Source organism: Homo sapiens, chromosome 20, assembly GCF_000001405.40.
Source record: "Homo sapiens chromosome 20, GRCh38.p14 Primary Assembly".
Taxonomy (NCBI): Eukaryota; Metazoa; Chordata; class Mammalia; order Primates; family Hominidae; genus Homo; species Homo sapiens.
The window spans coordinates 41,527,904-41,549,232 of record NC_000020.11 but is presented as its reverse complement, the minus strand read 5'-3'; the positions used below and the strand labels follow the sequence as shown (position 1 = coordinate 41,549,232).

The 21,329-nt window shown below is 39.2% G+C and overlaps 1 protein-coding gene and 1 pseudogene across 14 annotated transcripts in view; one reads left to right on the top strand and one right to left on the bottom strand.

Moving 5' to 3' along the window:
• CHD6 (chromodomain helicase DNA binding protein 6) overlaps positions 1 to 21,329 on the top strand; it is a 216,295-nt gene that overhangs the window by 69,145 nt on the left and 125,821 nt on the right. For 8 of the 14 annotated variants that reach the window (NM_032221.5, XM_047440549.1, XM_047440545.1 and 5 more), the window contains one exon: positions 15,663 to 16,183. In NM_032221.5, the coding sequence (NP_115597.3) occupies positions 15,663 to 16,183 (521 nt within the window). Of the gene's footprint in view, positions 1 to 8,473; positions 8,735 to 9,165; positions 15,319 to 15,662; positions 16,184 to 21,329 lie in introns of those variants that run through there. The other 6 variants (XM_017028101.2, XM_017028099.3, XM_017028102.2 and 3 more) reach the window with 2 other exon arrangements.
• On the bottom strand, positions 1,267 to 1,898 carry RPL12P11 (ribosomal protein L12 pseudogene 11; annotated as a pseudogene).

The following is a 21,329-nucleotide window of genomic DNA, read 5'->3' as shown; positions in this document are numbered from 1 at the left end:
AAGTCTTTGCTATTGTGAATAGTGCCACAATAAACATACGTGTGCATGTGTCTTTATAGCAGCATGATTTATAATCCTTTGGGTATATACCCAGTAATGGGATGGCTGGGTCAAATGGTATTTCTAGTTCTAGATCCCTGAGGAATCGCCACACTGACTTCCACAATGGTTGAACTAGTTTACAGTCCCACCAATGGTGTAAAAGTGTTCCTGTTTCTCCACATCCTCTCCAGCACCTGTTATTTCCTGACTTTTTAATGAACGCCATTCTAACTGGTGTGAGATGGTATCTCATTGTGGTTTTGATTTGCATTTCTCTGATGGCCAGTGATGATGAGCATTTTTTCATGTGTTTTTTGGCTGCATAAATGTCTTCTTTTGAGAAGTGTCTGTTCATATCCTTTGCCTACTTTTTGATGGGGTTGTTTTTTTTTTCTTGTAAATTTGTTTGAGTTCATGTAGATTCTGGATATTAGCCCTTTGTCAGATGAGTAGGTTGCGAAAATTTTCTCCCATTTTGTAGGTTGCCTGTTCACTGTGATGGTAGTTTCTTTTGCTGTGCAGAAGCTCTTTAGTTTAATTAGATCCCATTTGTCAATTTTGGCTTTTGTTGCCATTGCTTTTGGTGTTTTAGACATGAAGTCCTTGCCTATGCCTATGTCCTGCATGGTATTGCCTAGGTTTTCTTCTAGCGTTTTTATGGTTTTAGGTCTAACATTTAAGTCTTTAATCCATCTTGAATTAATTTTTGTATAAGGTGTAAGGAGATAAGCATTTATTTAAATCAAAACATTCTTTAGTGATTCCACCAAAATGAATTCTGGTTTCTTGTGAGATTTTACTGGTTCATGTTAAGACCTTTGGTATGTTAGCCAGCTGTTATGTAGCTTCAGTTGGATGGGTTTTTGTTTTGGACCTCATGGTAATTTTGATGAACAGAACAGGATTTTTCATTTAAAAGTTAATATTAGATAGGATAGAGAAGCAGGTTACAGAAGTGAGCAACTTTCAGAAAGACTTGATCCTGCTCCTCTTATAAATACTGATGGTAGGCCATACTGATAACTGAATTGCAAGAAGTTGCAAAGAATGAAAATAGAAAATGATGTTCAAGTTAAAGCAATATATAGGCTCCAGGATGGAGAATTCAGTGCCTAATAGAGAAGAGGCTCATGTTCTGGAGTGAATTTCAGCTTTGATTTCCATAGAACAGGATTGAAACTCTGACCTTACGATTTAGTTGTATAATTTTGGGTAAGTTCAGCCTTGTCAAATGAACCTTTATGGAAATTTTTCCTTTGTGCTTCTTAACTAGTTGGGCATTCCACCACAACACTGTTGATGCCATCCATGATGTCATGAGGGTGGTGGCCATCAACATTGCAGACACAGACTGGGCAGTAGTCAGTCCCCAGGAGCTCTTTAATAGTTCCAGAGAGTTCTCTGGCTAAAGATTGGTGCTGCATCTGTCGAGCAGTGTTGACAATCTCATCAAAAGTGATAATTCCACTGTGTTTAATGTTTTTCTGTTTCTTTCTGTCTATTGGTGGTTCCTTGAGGGCTTTGATGATTAGGGCAGAGGCAGAAGGTACCACCTCAATCTGGGCCTGTCTGTTCTGAATCGTCAGTTTCACTGTAATCCTTAGACCCTTCCAGTCACTAGTTGCCTTGGCAATGTCATCATCAACCTTTTTGGGAGACAGACCCAGGGGTCTTATCCTGGGAGCCAGTGCAGACATGGCATCGACTTCACCCCCGGTGCACCTCAGGTATACGACTCTAATCTCATTGGGGTCAAACTTCAGCAGCATGGTGGAGGCAGCTTGTGTCAGATGAATCCGATTCAGGACGACTGAAAGAAGTTGCACCTTGGCCTCCTTTGAGCTGGAAGACAAAAGCCAGCCTTGTTTTTCTGTCATTTAAATGGAAGTAATCATAACATGCCTCACATCATAAGATTAGGATTAAGTGGGGTAATTCGTCGAGTACTTGGTATTTAGTTTGTCAGTGGCAAGGAAATCTTTCAGTTTAACAATAAAAGTAACCATCAAACTTTGTCTTTTACCATGATTCTGAGGTGTTAGAAGTAGCAGCAAATAAAACATCCACCTTTTAAAAACCCTCATTCCTATTAATTCACTTTCCTCTTCCCTGGAGAAAAATGGCATGTAAATACACTCTGATCTTGATATTCCTCATTTCTTTGTTCAAAATCTTACCAAGGTAAATTGAGATGGTAGATTTTTACAAATTAAATCAAAACTCAGTAATAAATAATCGTGCTTCTTATTAACCAGAAAGGGCATAATAGGAGTAATGTGCCCAGAATAAAGGGTTTAGAGATTGACTTTGTTTTGCCTAAAGAATCGTTGTGAGAAAAACAGATTTTAATAAAACGTTTAAAAGTGAATCACTCAGGAGAGCTATAGACTTTTATCTACATTAAAAAGAACTAAACTGCTTCTAAGAAATACGTTATTTTAATTCTTAAGATGACTAAGCATTATTAGGCAGAAAAAAATTATAAAAATAAAATGTGAACTCTAATCATTGAAAACCTATGTGGCACTATTGATGTATAATATGGTTGTAAATAGTTCTTTGCAAGAGGGCACATCCTAATGTTAGCAACAACGAAACAATGATATAGGAATATTGATTTTTATTCATCTCAGCTCCTGCTTGGCACTGGGAAAAACATAAAAAATGATAAATATTATGTAATGTATAATATGGTCTGCAGGCAGGTGTCATCTTAAGGGGTAAGAGGGCTTTGGGACCACATATCCAGTGTAGAAGACAGTTAATAAGCAATGAATGCAATAGAAATACATAATATTATAAGTAGGATGACGGCTTGGAGCTGACTTGAGTAACTACGGGAGAATCTTGCTTCCTGACCCCATGCCAAGAGTTGGGTAAGCAGAGCCCTTCATTCTTAGGTCCTCTAGAAAACATAAAGATGGGAAGAGTTTTCTTCAGATATACTGTGAGAATCTCAAAGACTTTCAGATTATTAGACCTTATTTTCTTCCCTGGAGTGAATATGGGTATAATTTATTCACTGAACAATTTGTTGAGTTTTTCAGCATTAATTTATTAATACTAGTTCAGAAATATTTGCGTTCTACTTGGGGTCAGGTTCAGTAGTAACTAAAGCAATTTCTCAAGAAATTTCTAGCCTGGTTACAAACCATTAATGTAACCAGGGGATGAAATATGCCTCGGAAGAGCCAGAGTTTTACCTTGTGGTGGAAGATCATGCTCTGGAATTGGAGAGTATGGGGGCCAAGGGAAGGTCAGCCCCACCAAAGAAATTGAGAGTGTTCTAAAAAGAGGCAGCGTCTTCTGTGGGGAGCTAGGTTTCAGGCTTTTTGCTTCAGGGTCCTCAGGAGGAAAGCTTAGGAGGGAAGAGAGTAATATAGGTGGTTTTGGGAAGTTGAAAGACGTGGTGGGAAGGGAGAAAGGAAAGGCCTAGTGTGTGGTGCTGAATTTTGGGTGGTGACCAAGGGTGAACTAGGACAAAGAATAATTCCCAAAAGAATTGGTCCCAGAAATCCTCTAGGGAGAGATGAGGACTCAGTTTACTAGTAGTATGGATCACTAAATCATGATCCATAATTTAGAATAGTGAAAGAGGAAGAATAGCAAAGTTGATAATATGGTTGAGTGAATAATTTACTTTTAAGACTTTTTGGCCTCATCCTGCAGAGGGTCTGAAGATCATCTGGGCCAATAACTAGCCTAGATGACTAAAGAGCCTCACCCTAGAATCATGTTTCAAAAGGACTTAAAAGGGACCTATCCACCTCTTTTCTCCTCCCTCCTCCAAAAAGGAAAAGAAGTCTGAGCATTAAATGCTTTCCCCTCTTTGAACATATCTTAATATATTTTTTTCATTATTCTTACTTTATGTTCTGAAACATACACTCGAGGCCAGAATAAAGTCACTGAGATGGCAAAATAACGCTGATTTATTTCATGTGAGCTGTGGATGAAGCTAGGACTGTGTAGCCTGAGGAAATGAAGACTTAAGGGCATCACGTGGAAAAGAGTTAAATGTGTCTATTGCTGGACCTGTGGAAGAGAATGGGACACGTGGGGAGAGTTAGAGGAGGATAGGCTTCATATAAAGAAGGACATCCGGAGAAGTTGAGCTGCGTAGCTGTGCCATATGCCTTGTAAGCAGTAAGCTCCCTGTCTCCAGAACTTATTAGTTATTATTTTCTCTCTCTCCTAATTCTTTGCTTGTATGTTAGAAAGCATGAGATGGGAGTTTGAACTCGACCTCAGAGGCCCATCCTGACTAGAATCATAGTTTGCCAGTACATTTATTTATGGTATTTATAAGACCAAAGTAAATTGTATGTAAGTTGACACAATTTTAACTAAAATATTACATAGTAATCATATATTACTATGATATAGTAATATTACTATACATACACAGTAATATGATTATTATAATATAGTATCATAACAGTACATATGATTATATAGTAATCATATTACTGTGTAATATTTTAGTATTAAAATACTAATATTTTAATTAGTATAAAATATTAACATTAAAATATTTATAGTATGATTAATTATATGTTAATATTAAAATTTAATATTTAAATTGCACTGTGGTTCATTTAATTCATGTTACTAATGTTATCAAATACGTCACTAGCATTTATGAGACAGACACAAAATTTTAATGGAAATAAGCTGCTAATTTTAAAATCCTATGCATAAAGAAGCTGTAAGTCTAGTAAGTTTACATGTAGAAAACACTGTCATAAAAAAGGCTACTTAAAAACAACTAATGGAATTGCCTCGTCTCCTGTCTTGACCAGAGGAGTCTGGGAAGCTCTGGTGACCAAGTTTTTGAAGCAGCTTCAAAGTGATGATGAAGGATTTGGATCTGTGACATTTTTAGCTCGCATAACGAGTATTGATGTGACTGTGAAGAATCGTCTTCCTCTGCCTAACTTTGTTTTTTTTTGAGACAGAGTTTTGCTTTGTTGCCCAGGCTGGAGTGTAGTGGCAAAATCTCAGCTCACTGCAACCTCCACCTCCCGGGTTCAAGCAATTATCATGCCTCAGCCTCTTGAGTAGCTGGGATTACAGGCGCCCGCCACCACGCCTGGCTGATTTTTTGTATTTTAGTAGAGACAGGGTTTCACTATTTTGCCCAGGCTGATCTCAAACTTCTGAGCTCAGGCAATCCGCATGTCTTGGCCTCCCAAAGTGATAGGATTACAGGAATGAGCCACCGTGCCTGGCCGCTCTGCATAACTTTGATTCATCCTTGGGAAAACTAGCCCAAAGGGTTAAAGTATTATGAAAAAACCAAAAGTGCAACAGGAACGTCTTTTTCATTTTGATATGGTTTGTAACTTTATCATGAACTTACTATCCAGGAACTACGTAATATTTAGATACTGAGAATAAAACGTTCTCATTTTGTAAGGATAAAAGAAATATGTCTACTGCTAACAAACTACATTCTTACGATGGTGGTTGTAGATCTTTGGTAGCTGCCAAGTCCATGTTTAAAATGACCCTCATCTTGGGACCCTTCTGGGTGAAGCTGAAAAGTCTTAGACATCATTTATTTAATATATGTCCTACTACATTTATTTAATATATGTCCACTTAATAAATTGTTTATTCTTGATATGTTTCTCATCTGATCTGGAGAACAAGTGGATTTATGAAGAAATGGATAGAAGAGGAAAAGTTAGTGAATTGAAAGTCATCTGGGGAAAGGTTGAGGAGAGATACAGGTGTGTTGGGGAATGGGTGATGGAAACAAAATAGAGGTTGGTTAGAGGTTCTTGCTGATTCTTATTTCTAAGTTTGTTGTATCCAGTACACGAGACAGTGTGAAGTGATTAAAAGCAATGGCCCTTGAAATGGGAGTCAAATCCCAAATCTTAGCTTTACCACTTACTAGCCGTGGGACCAAGTTGAGTTATTTAGCCTCTCTAGGCTTCTACTCTGTAAAATGGAGTCATAATATGCCTCTATCTTAAGGTTGTTTTGGTGATACATTTAATAAGCTTAGTATCTTCCTAATACCCATTTGTTAGTAAAATTAACTATTATTATTATTGACATCCTTTTTTTTTTTTTTTTTGAGACAGAGTCTCACTCTGTCACCAGGCTGGAGTGCAGTGGCGCAATCTTGGCTCACCGCAATCTCCACCTCCCGGAATCAAGCAATTCTCCTGCCTTAGCCTCTTGAGTAGCTGGGATTACAGGCACACGCCACCACACCCAGCTAGTTTTTTGAATTTTTAGTAGAGATGGGGTTTCACCATGTTGGCCAGGATGGTCTCAATCTCCTGACCTTGTGATCCACCCGCCTCAGCCTCCCAAAGTGCTGGGATTACAGGCGTGAGCCACCGTGCCTGGCCTTGGCATCCATTTTATGTGTAAAATATCAGAACAATTCTGGGTGGTTAGAGTCATTGTGACTACAAGGCTGAGATATATAAAAGAACAATTCCTTATCCATGAATACAGTCTTTCTTTTTCTTTTTTTTTGAGACGGAGTCTCGCTCTGTCGCCCAGGCTGGAGTGCAGTGGTGCGATCTCGGCTCCCTGCAAGCTCCACCTCCCAGATTCATGCCATTCTCCTGCCTCAGCCTCCTGAGTAGCTGGGACTACAGGCGCCCGCCACCATGCCCAGCTAATTTTTTGTATTTTTTAGTAGAGACGGGGTTTTACCATGTTAGCCAGGATGGTCTCGATCTCCTGACCTTGGGATCCACCCGCCTTGGCCTCCCAAAGTGCTGGGATTACAGGCATGAGCCACTGCGCCCAGCCGAATACAGTCTTTCTAACTCTAGGCCGGGGTCCTGGTTTATTATGTGGCAGGGGTAGGAGCAGAGTTGGCCTAAGTTTTGGGCCTAGGGCCTCTGGTAGCCCAAAGCTACTGTAAAACTACATGTGGGCCAGGAATGAAGAGGTAGGAAAATAGTCTTATTCACCCCACTAGATTCTGTTCAGCATCTACTTGTCCTAGAATATATCACCAAATAATTCTAAAAGATGTATCTCCTGGCCTTTGTTGGTGGAGCAAACATCATTCCACTTAGGCAGATTAGGAAATTGAGTTACTGTGAGGTTTTGGTCTACCCAAAGCCATAGTTGGAAATAAAAGTAGTTTCCAAAAACAACACAGGCACTTATTATTATTTTCCCTCTCTCCTCCTAATTCTTCCCTGTCAGCATCTAAATTTAGCCATATACTAGCCCACAGTTTTTGTTACTGCCTAGAGTTAACAAGAATTAGGTTGACGGCATATTTAGAGATTTCAAATTTCTAAGACTCTTGAAACATCATAAAAGTATCTCCTGTCCCCGTCTCCCCATTTTAATTGCAAAAATATGGAAGTAGAGGTGGAGACTAAAAACGACAGAGTCAAGTATTTGGGGGTGGAAAGGTTTTGAAAAAATGACATTACCAAATCTGTTGACCACTCTTTAGTGCTTCACTTACCTGCTTCTCAGCAGCGTTTGACACCTGCGATGATTCTGTCTTGAAATGCTCTCTTCTTCAGGCTTCAGGGATACCCTGCTTTCAGTCTTACATTTTTTCCCACCAACTTCACTTATCTCACTGTTTCTTCTCACTCTGTAGGTTCTTCTTCCTCTGGTGATCCTGAAACGTTAGTGTGTGTCAGGATTTGGTCCTGTTTTCTCTTCTCTCTTTATTCTTGCTGGGCAGTCTAATTCATTCTTGTAGAAATTTTTCTTGGAAAATTATCCAAGAACCTACTGGATTTCTGCACCTGAATTATCCTTAAATACCTGCAACTGAACTGTCTAACCAGCTGTGACTATGTGAAGAACACCAGGATCAAAGTACCTGCTTTGTCACCTAAAGCACAGGACTCCTCAGTAGAGATAGATTGAAATAGAAACGTTCCTGGACTTCCCGATGAAGTTATGTCCTGACAAACCCATCATAAAGTTGAAAATTCATAAATCAAACCATTATGAGTCGGGGACTGACTGTATACTAAATGCAGAAAAAGAAAGAGAGAAAGAGACATACAAATGCACAATCGGACAGACATTGTTCCTGCCCCCACTCTGGTCAGTCTTGCTAATTCCACACAGATGTCTTTGCTGAGTGGATAAGTTCCAGTACAATTGCAGCAAAATAAAAGCTGAGGACATGTGGGTTTTTTTTTTTTTTCTACATTTAGTATGTTCTGTAGTCAAATGCCTGTTTTAAAAAAAATCTTTCAGAAGAAAGTGAAGGTGAAAAAAATAAAACAATCCTAATTTTAATTAGGAAATAACTTTAGCTACCTGAAATGTTGTCCACAAACTGATTTATTAATAGAAACAGTTACCACTTCCTTTGAATTTTCATTTTTATTATTTGAACTTTAAAAAAACATAGAAGGTTGCAAATTTTGATGAGCTTTTCTACTCGTTTTTATGTTTAGCTAATTTCTAACACAGAACACCATCTTCTCCCTGCTGGAGAAGATAGAAGACTCCAAAGCCAGCCAGCAGCAGGAGCCAGCGAGGCCTTGCTCACTACTTGGGTTGGAGGTGCAAGGAAGCACAGCTGGATGAAGGGTTTGTGGTGGCCTTTCCAGCCCAGGTGCAAAGTGCACACTTTGTCCTGCACCTCAGTCAAATGTAATCTCTCAGTGCTGACACCTCTCATTCTGCCTTTGATTCTTGAATCCTTATGATTGGGAGAAACATGGATTGTCTGGTAAAACAGTTTTTCCCGCTTATTATAGAAGTCTGTAAAATTTTTCTATTACATGTATATGAAAGTTTTTCTGTTAAAAATACCATGAAAGTAATACATTCTCATTATTGAAATCGTAGATGTCTATTAGAAATAAACAGCCAAATTTGCATAGCCTCAGATGATTACTATTAACATTTTGTTTTCCTTCCATTAGTTGTTCTATGCACAGATATTTATTGCCATTTCTGTTTACATGTACAATTCTATAGACTCCCTTTTTCTCTTTTCCAAATTGTAGATAACTGTTTCTTTCATTCAGTAACCACAGGATTGAATTATACCATAAGCCAGGTACTTTTCTAGATACTACCACAGAATCACTGCCTCTGGAAGCTTACATTCTACTCATGGGAGACAGGTAAAAACAAAGAACAAAAAAGAAGTGAAAGCTGCCCACAGTCGTATCACCCAGACATGATGATGGTTAACATTTGGTCTGTGCCCTTGCAGACTTTAAAAAATTGTTTTAAAAAGCTAGCATTCGTATAGTATTTTTTAAAAACAAAAATGTGATTAGACCATAGGTTTTCTTTTTTTGCTTCCCAAATGTAGACATGTTTCATGTCTTTTAAACCTCCGTATAATAATGGTTGCGTAGTATTATTCCAGATGATGGGTGTACTATTAATTTAAATATTTTCCTAAAGATTGGCAAACAGGTTATTATAGCTTTTTTCTCTATTAAACACAATTGTGTATCAGATATTCTTATATATAATCCTTTGGAGTTATTATGTGTTTCCTTTATTTATGCCCTAGAAGAGAAGTTGCCCTGTTTAAAAGGATATCCACAATTAAAATTTTAGTATTGTTTTGTTGTATTTTTATCTAATTTGGTCTTAAGGTCACTCCCTGGGCAGTGGCTGTAATTTCTAGCACTGCCCTCATGGGGCCCCAGTGGGGTGGTCGTGTGTGTTTACAGTGTGCCTTTCACTGGATACTTCTCTATCCTGAAGGGCAGCCTAATGCAAGTGACCAGTGACCAGGTGTCCCTCTCACAGAAGACTTACTTATACTGGCAGACACCTTGTGGCTCTTGTCTAACCTGTGTCCTGGGTCCATTTTATTCCTACCAAGATAACCACTCTCGAGGAGAGCCTTGATCAGGAGGAGAGTTAGGTTAATGTGTGTCAGTCAGGTGAGATACAGAGAAGACAGCATAACAAAACATGAAATAACAGAAGCAGTTTTATTACTTGCAGATCCTAGAGAGAAGAGAGCAGCACACCTCACAGAGCCAGTGAGAAGCGAAGAGCTATCCAGGGCACGCATGTTCAGTCAGTGTGTGGGGAGCAAGAAAGAAAGATGAACCAACCCATGGATCAAAGCCTTCATTAGGGTCCAGGCGGTTAACCATTACCCAAGCAGGTTTCCTGCAGGGAGTTCTAATTGCTGGGTTTAGAGCAAGCAGTTAGAGTTCAGTGGAGTCACTGCGGCGTATCTGGGCAGTCCATGCAGGGTATGGGGTCAGTGGAGCAAGACACGTAGGTAGGCTCTGTGGCTGTCCCATAGGTGGGTGGTCACCAGGAGGCAGTTGTAAAAGGCAGATATCTGGATTGACCACCTTGAGGAACTGGGAGGAGGCAGGGTCAAGGGTAGAAACTGTATCAAGCTTGAACAAGCTCCACTTCTGGTATGAGAAAGTCCAGTGTACATCCAAAATGGATGTTGAGGCAACATAAAATTATAAGAATTCACTACATGTTGCTACTCTGTCCTGCAAAAAAAGGCTTTTAATAGTTGATACTCTTGCCAGCAATATTTGAGAGCACCAATTTTGGTATGTCCTAGTACTGGATTTTTCAAAATGAAAATGTAATTTACATACTATAAAATCCACCCTTTAAAAATGTGCAATTTTGTGGTTTTTAGAATATTCACAAGATTGTGTAAACATCGCCACTATTTAATTTCAGAACATTTTCGTAACCCCCAATTTGTCTCTTTGAGTTCGTTTTTTGCTGAGCATTTCATATAAATGGAATTATACAATATGTGGCCTTTTGTGTCTGGCTGATTTCATTTAGCCTGTTTTCAAGGTCTATCCATGGTGTAGCATGTTTCAGTACTTCACTCCTTTTTTATTTTTTTATTTTTTATTTTTTTGAGACAGAGTCTCACTTTGTCACCTAGGCTGGAGTACAGTGGCGCGATCTCAGCTCACTGCAACCTCCGCCTCCCAAGTTCAAGCAATTCTCCTGCCTTAGCCTCCCAAGTAGCTGGGATTACAGGCGCATGCCACCCCACCTGGCTAATTTTTGTGTTCTTAGTAGATAGGGAGTTTCACCATGTTGGCCTGGCTGGTCTTGAACTCCTGACCTCATGTGATCCGCCCACCTTGGCCTCCCCTTTGCTGGGATTATAGGTGTGAGCCACTGCACCCAGCCCCACTTCACTCCTTTTTATGGCTGAATAATATGCCATTGTATGGACATACCACATTTTGTTTGCCTGTTCGTCTGTCGATGGATGGAGTTGCTTCCACCTTTTGGCTATTGTGAATAGTGCTGCTGTGAACATTTGTGTGTAAGTTTTTGTTTAAACACCTGTTTTCAATTCTGTGTATATGTGTGTGTGTGTGTATCTATGATGGAATTGCTGGATCATTTGCTAACTGTGTTTAACTTCTTGAAGGACTGTCACACTGTTAAGTGGCTTCACCATTTTATATTCCCACCAACAATGTATGAAAGTTTCAATTCCTCTGTATCCTTGCCAAAATTATTGTTGTCTTGTCTTTTTTATTATAGCCATCTTAGGTGGGTATAAAATAGTATCTCGTTGTGGCCTTGAATTTGGTTCTTTTTTATTATTGACTTGTAAGAATTCTTTATATATTCTAGACACTAGACCCTTATCTGATAAATGATTTGCAAATATTTTCTCCTATTCTGGGGATTTTCTTTATGCACTTCTTCCTCAGCGTCCATGGGGGATTGTTCTAACGCCTTACATGAATACCAAAATCTGAGGATGCTCAAGTCCCTTATTTAAAATGGTGTAGTATTTGTATATAACCCATACACATCTTCTCATACACTTTAAATCATCTCTAGGTTACTTACAAGACCTAACACAACACAAATGCTACATAAATAGTTGTTGTAGTATATTGTTTTTAAATATGTATTTTTATTGTTGTATTGTCATTTTTAATTGTTTGTTTGTTTTCAAATATTTTCAATCCTCGGTTGACTCCATAGATGCAGAACCCATGGATTTAGAGGGCCAACTGTACTTTCTTGATAATATTCTTTAAAGTGCAAAAGTTATTAATTTTGATAAGTGTATTAAAGTTTTAAATGAAAAATATTTAAATTCCTTAATTACTATATTTCACATAAAATATGCAACTTTTAGGAAAAGTTGGGGGAAGTCTAATAGTATTATATTATCACTTTATTTAATTTTTCTTTCAAAGAAAGAATCATCCTAAATTTGGGAGAGGGAAATGTCATCACAACTTGGAGAGTATCTTCCCTTTCAACCTTCACATCTCTATATATGCCTGTTTGCCATGCCAATATTTAAAGAAACTTGTAAATGGCCAGTAAATACTGTTTATATGAATAAGAGTGAAAGGCTCTCTCTCTATTCCTCAGGAGCTTGGATAGAGAACAGTACTAGCTTGGAAGCAGCTTATAGGCAATGATTGTCAGGTATCCATGTATGGATTCCTTACAGATAGAAATATATGTTTCCTGACCCAAAACAAAAAAATACAGTGAAATATGCTTAATTTTTTTTAACCTGATGTACTGAAATTTAATGGTTTTTGTTGCCTGAGTTTTAGCATATTATTTCAAGGCTTTCTGTTGAAAAGGTATAGAAATGGTTATAACTGATGAAGAAGATTCTGTAGCAGATACGCTCATTATTCTGGATGATTTTCTTAATTAGAATCTATTTTGACTTTCAAGTTCTTGAATAATTGTTAAAGGTTTGTCCATGGACCTCTGTTTGGAACCACTGCCCAGGGCCATAATTTTTTCATTAGTTCTTAGCTCCTTTTCAACTGACCTGATCCAGTTTATCTAGATTCAAGTCTTTAAGTGTCTTTTCCAGGAATATTGTGGATTGATAATTTTGAATCACAGAAACGAGTTTTTTACTAACAGTGCAGTTTATGAGCTAGCATTGTTGCATGTGTTACCAGTGGAACCTGTCCATTTCATTCCTGTTTTCCTAGATTCTTGTCTCTATTTAAACTGTTGTTATAATTTGTAAAATATTTTTGGCACCTTGTGGCCCATCATCTTCAACCTGTTCCTTTTAGGGCCAGTTTCAAAGTGGTAATTTAATGTCCTTGGTAGAAGCTGAAACAAAGCTTTTATTTCAGCTCTTTGCCTTTCCCTTGCTGACCTTGAGACACATGAAAGAAATTTTTTTGTCTTATATTTTTTAATCTTCAGCAAATATGTTTTCAAAGCTCCCAACAAGGTGCCTTAAAAATACAAACATTTCTGGTAGACTTTTCAATTATAATTTTATATATTTTATTACTAATATCTGCTTTTTCATCAAGAACTGCATGACCTTTCCCAAAGTGATTGCATATGCCATCACATTTAACTTTTATTTTTATTTTTAAGAGATTGAGTCTTGCTGTGTTGCCCAGGCTGGAGTGCAGTGGCACAATCATAGCCCGTTGTAACTTCAAACTACTGGGCTCAAGTGATCCTCCTGCCTCAGCCTCCTAAGTAGCTAGGACTACAGGTGTGCACCACCACTGCTGGCAAATGTTTTAAATTTTTTTTTTTGGTAGAGACAGGGTCTTGCTCTATTGCCCAGGCTGGTCTCTAACTCCTGACCTCAAGTGGTTCTCCCACCTCAGCCTCCCAAAGTGCTGGTATTACAGGTGTGAACCACCATGCCTGGCTGCATTTAACATTTCTAACCAAGTTCCATCATGCTGGTCTCATGGCCTAGCAATCATTGTAGTTCCCCAGGAGGTCATACAATGCTCAATGAATTGGGTGTGAGCTTTGGCCAGATGGAAAGTTCAAATCCAGGCTCCTGCACTCAGTAGCCATATAGCCTTGGGCATATCAATTAACATCACTAATCTTCCATTTCTCTGTATACAAAATTGGCATCTTCATATTGACCCTGTGGGATTGTTATAAAGATTACAGGTCATGAAACATGCCTTGCAGAAGCCCTAGTGTACCCATATGGCATGTTTTCAATAAATGTTAGCTGCAGCTCTTGCTATTGCCTAAGGATTGAATGCTCCCTTACTGCCACCTGCTTCTAGCTTCTTTGGGGACCCCTGTCCTTCAGAAAAGGGTCCTGGACATGAGATATGAGCTGAAAAGACAGGGTCTCACTCTGACCTTCAGAGAGCTGCCTCGGTGGGAGTAGATCTTTTATGTTATCTTTGAAAGCCTAAGAAACCTGTGACTCATCCTTTTTCAGTCTGTACACCCTTGCATGCTAAGCAAAAACTTGTTCCTTGAGGGCCAGGCATCCTTGGCACAGAATTCAAGAATCTTCCGAGGACAGCTCTGCACTTCACAGGAGCCAAGCTTTACCTGGATACCTGTCACCTCACTGCTGGATTTCTTCTTGCCTTGTATCCCATTAAAACAGTTTTTAAAATTGTGGTAAAAGCATATGATAGAAAATTTACCACCTTAACCATTTTTTTTGTATTTGATTTTAAATTCCTTTTATGTCCACTTATCTCCTCCTTTTCCAAAGCCATCTCAAGTGCTCAATCAGCAATGAGATCATCAAACTGAATTGTTTTCCTTTTATTTATTTATTTATTTATTTTTGAAAGTAGTGAGTCCTGTCAGAATGACCAATTCCCTTTGTATTTAGGCTTATGAGGCTGGACTGTATTGATATGATAAAGATCTGCCCCCCGCCCCCCCAAAAATCTTTCCTTTCTTTCATCTTTTTCTCCTGGGATTCTCAGTGTTATGTTTGGGAGCATTGGACTAGGGAAAGAAACTGGAAAAACAGAAGGGGGAATATGCAGCTGAATGTTACAGTCTCTGTAACTACCAGGGTGGGCCAGGAAGTCTGAGCACAGATTGGGTAACCAGCATACTGAAGGGAAACCATGCCACCTGGGCAACTGTCTGTGCCCTTTAGCACATGCCAGGCCTCTTGTTAAGAGAGCAGGTTCCTCACAAATGGTGCTGTTTCTAAGCCATCATGCAAAGATGATTGTAACTGTCTTCTTAGAAAGCCTGCTTGTCCCTCCCAGGCTCTTCTTAAGTTATTTCTTTGTTCCAGACCAAGGAGAAGGTGCTGTTCCTTGAAACTAACACCCACATTGTTACCGACTATCACCAACCTTAGCTGTGTTGTGAAGTTGTAAATATTTTTTGCAACACCAGACCTGAAAGAATGAGATATAACTTCTAAACCCAAAGGGATGTTTTCTTAAAAAGTGGTCACTTTGGGGGGCTGTACTTTTATTTGTTGGTGCTCAAAAACAGCTTTGCAACTTCCATTTTAGGGATGCCTTGAGCACCTGTGACACATCCTTTCTAATGGCATCTATCACCATAAAACTTCCTCCTATACAGGTAGTTTGGTTTTTGCAAGTGGCTAAAGGTTATTTGGTGCTCAGTCTGGTGGCTAGATTAGATGATCATACAGAACAGCACAATTTTTAGTTAAAATCAAAGGCCTACCTTTGAATGATCCTGATTTAGTATGCTAACAACACGTTGGCACAGCTCCACAAGTGTAAAGGCCGTGTATGTCCTGTTTGCCACTCTGTCTCCAAGGCCTAGCACAATAGGAACTAACAGAGAGTGGGAACTCAGTAAATATTTGTTGAGCAAATCCATGTATTCAAACTGGGTAACTCTCTTTGTCTGAAGCATGAATTGGAAGGGTAATATGCTTGTTTCTCTTTCTTTTACAGTTGTCAAATTTAAAAGTTTTGAATCACTCCCCAATGTCTGATGCCTCTGTCAATTTTGACTACAAATCTCCATCCCCATTTGACTGCAGCACTGATCAAGAAGAGAAAATTGAAGATGTTGCTAGTCACTGTCTGCCTCAGAAGGACCTGTATACTGCTGAAGAGGAAGCTGCTACCCTTTTTCCTAGGAAAATGACATCCCATAATGGGATGGAGGACAGTGGAGGAGGAGGTACTGGAGTGAAGAAGAAACGGAAGAAAAAGGAGCCAGGAGACCAAGAGGGTGCAGCAAAGGGAAGCAAGGACAGAGAGCCCAAGCCAAAGAGGAAACGAGAACCGAAAGAGCCAAAGGAACCCAGAAAGGCCAAGGAGCCGAAGAAGGCCAAGGAGCACAAGGAGCCGAAGCAAAAAGATGGGGCAAAGAAGGCACGGAAGCCCCGGGAGGCCTCGGGCACCAAGGAGGCCAAAGAGAAGAGGAGCTGCACTGACTCTGCAGCCAGGACGAAGTCCAGGAAGGCCAGGTACGTTCCTTTCTCCCTTCTCTGAGCACTTGCCTATGCCAGTGCAGAACGATTTGCCTTTGGCATTAGCCCAAGCCCCTAGGCATAACCCTGCTGCACTCCTGTGGGCCTAAGCTTCACATCTCACCTGTATAGGATGGGGAGCAGGGGTAACCCCTTGGTGCTAATGCAAGGGGCTGTCCTTGGAGGTTGCTGTTTTCTCATTGCATTTCTAAAGTCGTGGTATTTCAAAAACGACATTTGTGTTTTTAGGATACTCCCAAGAATTCCCCACCCCCTTCAGACCCCAACCATTCTTTTTGGTCTTAGTACTTAGCATTATTTAGTTGCTAGCTGTGTAGATGTACCCCCTATATCCCATGTTTATATGTTCTTTGTGTCTATATTAGCTTTCAGCCAAAAATGAACCACTTTTCTTACCTCCTAATGAGAGAAAGATAACCTTAATTAATACTGACCATGCAGTTTCTTGCCATTCCTTTTGGACTAAAAAGAATTAAAATGTTAACATGCACAGGGTGTAAGGGAAGTGACATCCCAGGTGTGATACAGGGGGCAGTGATTTTTGGAACAGCAGTCGTGTAGAGTGGCAGAGGAGCTGCTATGAGGAGGATGCACAGTCACGGGAATCAGTGGTGCAGGAAGCCTGAGAGAGCCGTCAGTATGCACAGATTTCCAGATAGATGAGGACTGACTAGGTTCCCCTAGGTTCCAAGCTCTGAGTGCAGGACCATTCCTGATCTGTTTATCTAGTTCATTGTCTAGCACAGTGCTTGACACATTGACAAGTGCTTAGGAAATGCTGAGTAAATGAGACCAGAGGAGACCATAATGACTTACAGAGAGACCAGAGTGCATAGGTACAGATTCACTGTATAGACCCTATCAAGACAGCAAATGCATTCCTTGTGCAGGGAATTCCGTATCTGTCATCATATGCAAATATTATATTTCTCATTTTGTTTCTAAATTCCTTGTGGAGAACTTTATATTTAGAATTTTGAGGAAACACCAAATACATGACTCCTATCTTAAGGAATTTACATGTCTAAAATCTAAGTGCAAGGGAAGGTTAATTATATTTATCTATGTATCTATTATTTTAGACCAAGAGCACTCATAAAAAAACACAGACTGATGTGGATACTAACAAAACATAAAGTAATGAGGCCATCACACCTGTGTTGGTCAGGCATGAAGGAGGTAATTTTAAGAATGCATTTTAAGTGGTGTGTGTTGCAACGTGGAGTTTACTATATGGTTCAGTTCTTTTTCAGAAGGACAGCTTGTTGGGACCAGATGGATAGTTTCTTAATCCAAATTAAAATTTTGCCTCATAATGTTCACTCCCTTCTGTCTGGCAGGGAATTTCATCTTTCATCTACCACAGAAACTTGGGTGGGATCTCAGGAATGTAGGTTACAGAAAATGCCCATAAAATACCTTACAGACGGCCAAGAGAGAGGTAGACAAAACTCAGGATTCTGCCTAACTAAAACCTTAACAGGATTTGTTTCTTAGTGAACCTAGTGAGCATACTCTAGTCTCCAGTGTGTGGATGGAGTAGCAGAGTGACTGTTCAGCCTCTGCAAATAATTTTCATTTCCAGATTACTTTGGAGGAACTGAAGTGGTACTTTGGGATAATAGCATATATAAAGAAGGAGGATCAGACATGAGCTAGTGTGGCAACTTTTTTTTATTATTATTACAGAGAATAATAAGGCATAAAGATTGTGTTTGAGAATTTAGGGTGATTAGAGGAGAGTTTTATAGCCCTAATAAGAAGTCTTGGTTTGTATCTAGAAGACATTAGAAAGCCATAGGTGTCTGAGCCCACTTAGCCACTGGTTTCTGATGTTTACAATTTTATCAACTCCTCCTTTTTTAAGGAATTCATGTTTACATTGTATGAGGTCTGAAACAAAGTGATGAGTATGCAAACATTGTCATAAATTCCATTTTGGGGGAATAAGGAGGCATTTAACAAAGTGTTGGATGCCAAATGTATAGGCAAAATCAGGATTCTGTCTAGTGAAAATGTACAGTCTTTGTTATATAAATGTAGCAATATTAACGCAACTTGATTTGATCTAATTAGGCTGTATGAAATATAAGTGAGTTGGAGAAGTGCTTGGCAGTGTTTTCAAAGGCTGCTAACTTAGAAGACAGCAGAACCTTTTGAGGTTTAGAAGTCCAAGAGACACCCTATTAGAGGAGGCTGACAGAAGTGATCATCTCTTTAAAAATGTGGACAAGTTACATGAGCTTTCTCTTTATTTTAGAGTTATATTACATTGATCTGTAACATAATAGAATTCTTCTATGTACTCCAGGGTTCTGGACTGGTTAGCCTTTGATTGCTTCTCTTTTATATCTTTGTAAAATTGTTTTGGTTCCTTTAATTAGTGATCCTACTGGTAGGCAGAAGCAATTTTACATATGAAGCATGTTAATTGATTTAAAAATACATGTATATATATACACACACATATGTATATATGCATATGTTAGTAATTAAGCCTTAGTTTTTTGTTCTCGTTGATTTACTCTTGCAGATTGGCTCAAGTACGTGTTTTGATTTGAGCAGGTATCGATTAGACCCTGGTAATACTTGATGGTTATAAATGACTCACTTAATGCTTGGATTAGCTCCGCAACTGATTTACGGGCTTCTGGCCTTTTCCTCCCTCAGTCCATCTTGCCAGCTGCCACCTGGCTAGTCTTTCTGAAGCCCTGCTGTTGGCCCCTTTATTTATGTTGGCAACAGTGGTGGTGGTGGTGGTAAATCAGATCGCCTTTTCTCCCTTTTCAATTCTAAATCAGTTGAGAAATAGTCAATAGAAATGGGCATTCGTTTATCAGCTCGGTTATTGGTAAACTGGATTGAAAAACATTTGTTAGCTTGTGGCCACCATCAGACTTGCTGTTACTCTCTCACTTGAGTTTATCTGCCAGCACTGCAGGCACTCGGAAGCAGAGGTGGTGGTGCTGGGCCATGTGTGCTCCATTCCTTCTTCCAGTCTTGCTATTTGGGTATTTCCCCAGTCGGGGAAGTGAGATAAGTTTGAAGAAGGGTGGAAAATATATTTCCAGTATTTTTCAGTCCTTGGGAATAAAATATGCTTTTCCTCATGAAAACATGGAGGCAGGGAAATAGGATTCCCTCAACAATTTATAACCGCTTAGAATCTTCTGATTGTTCCTGTTGCCCCCTGATTGCTCCTGTTGTCCCCTGATTGCTCCTGTTGCCTCCAGGACAAAATCCAGACTCCTTCCTCTGTTATTCAGACCCTCTGGGGTCTGACATCTCCCTCTCTTTCCATCTCTGGCGCTATACCTGGCCAACTCGATTAATCTCATTAGTTCTTAAAGGTCCTTGACCCACTTCTCCTTTGGATTGCTCTTGGTATTTCCCCAGCTCTTACCCTTCTCTCAGTATCCCAAGTCCTTTCCATTCTTCAGGTCTGAGTGCAAGTCTCAGTTCAGATATATATCAGAGTTCAGATATATATCAGAGTTTCCCCAAACCAGTGTACCTGTGTGTCCCCTCTGAACTTCCATAGCCCTGTTGTATTGCAGCCAGGGAAACGGAGACCCACAGAGAAGTGACTTGTCTAAGGTCATTCACAGATGTGTGTTATAATCTCAGGCCTGATTCCCAGTCTTGTATGTTTGCCTCTAAAACAGGCTACTTTTCCCGTCATTAATTGTGGTTTTCAGGTATGTGTGACTTGTTTTCCTCAACAAAAGTTAAGATATGTATATGTATATATACCAAGAATAAATGGATAGAGCTCTTCTCCTTGAAAATAAGACCTGTATAAGGTATCTTATAACTCCTATTGTTATATAACAGTAGGTAATATATCCATTTTATAATTGAATGAAAGTTCAAAAAGTTAAGTAACTTGTCCAAGGCACAAAACTAGTGAGCACCATTGTTGGGATTTGACTCCAGGTTCACCTGACTGTAAAACCGACTTTTCTCTCCATAGCCGTGTGTCTTTTATGTTTTGCTAAGGAAGATCAGAAATGGACGTGGGGAGATTTCAGTGTCAGAGAAGTTGGTTTTTATTTGTAGGAAATGGTCCCTCTTCTATAGAATTTCAGTTTGCATACTCCATGGTATCCTTTCAAGGACTAAAATGTCTTCAACTTTTTCCTTTGTTTGTGTTTGCATTTGAGAGGCAACAAGCAGATTATTGAACATGTCTGTTCTAAACAGGTGATAGGTAGAGTCTAGCAAATTTTCCTTTTCAAGGATGATATTAATAGTGATCAGTATTCATTTATTGCTTAAGAGATAAAAGCCTAAAATTCTTAAATAGGAGAAGTTTCAATTGAAACTAGTATTTATTCTTTTCCCTCCAAATTATTATTATTATTTTTTTTAGAGATGGGGTCTCCCCAATAGCTGGGATTACAGATATATATCACCAAACCTGGCTTAATTCTCTAAATTATTTTTGAGTATGAGTTTAGTTCATTCCTTTATTGTGTAAAACTTAAGCAAGAAAGAAAGCTCCTTCAGGAAGCCAAGTTAGGCTCTGTCATTTTCCTGACTCTGAAATTAAAATTTCATTTGGTATAACTCATATGTTTATACTATTTTTAAAATTATAGTGCCTTATTCCAGAGAGGATTGGAGCCACTTGCCTAAGAAGACATACACAGATGTACGTTTATGTGTATACATACAAACATATACACATACCTATGCATACATAGCTGTACATGGCTGGTATAGCTGGAGGAGGGGATCAGAAAGGCAGGGGTCAGGTCATGTAGGGTCATGAAATGTTAATAAGGGCTTTGGGAATATATTGTTCCCAAAATTGTTCATTATATTGAATATAATGTTTTGGCCTTAGAAAAGCAACATGCCAGTTTCTCAGAGAAGCTAAGTTTTTACCATTTGAGAAAGAAATTTCTTATTAGGGAACTGTTATAGTTCATTTTATGTTGCTATAACAGAATACACAGACTGGATAATGTATAATGAACAGAAATTTCTTTGGCTTACCATTCTGGAGACTGGGAAGTCCAACAGTATGGCACTGGAATCTGGGGAGGACCTGTGTGCAGCTCCTCATCCTGTGGCCAAAGGCAGAGAGAGGAGCAAGAGAGGATGAAATGTTAACGAG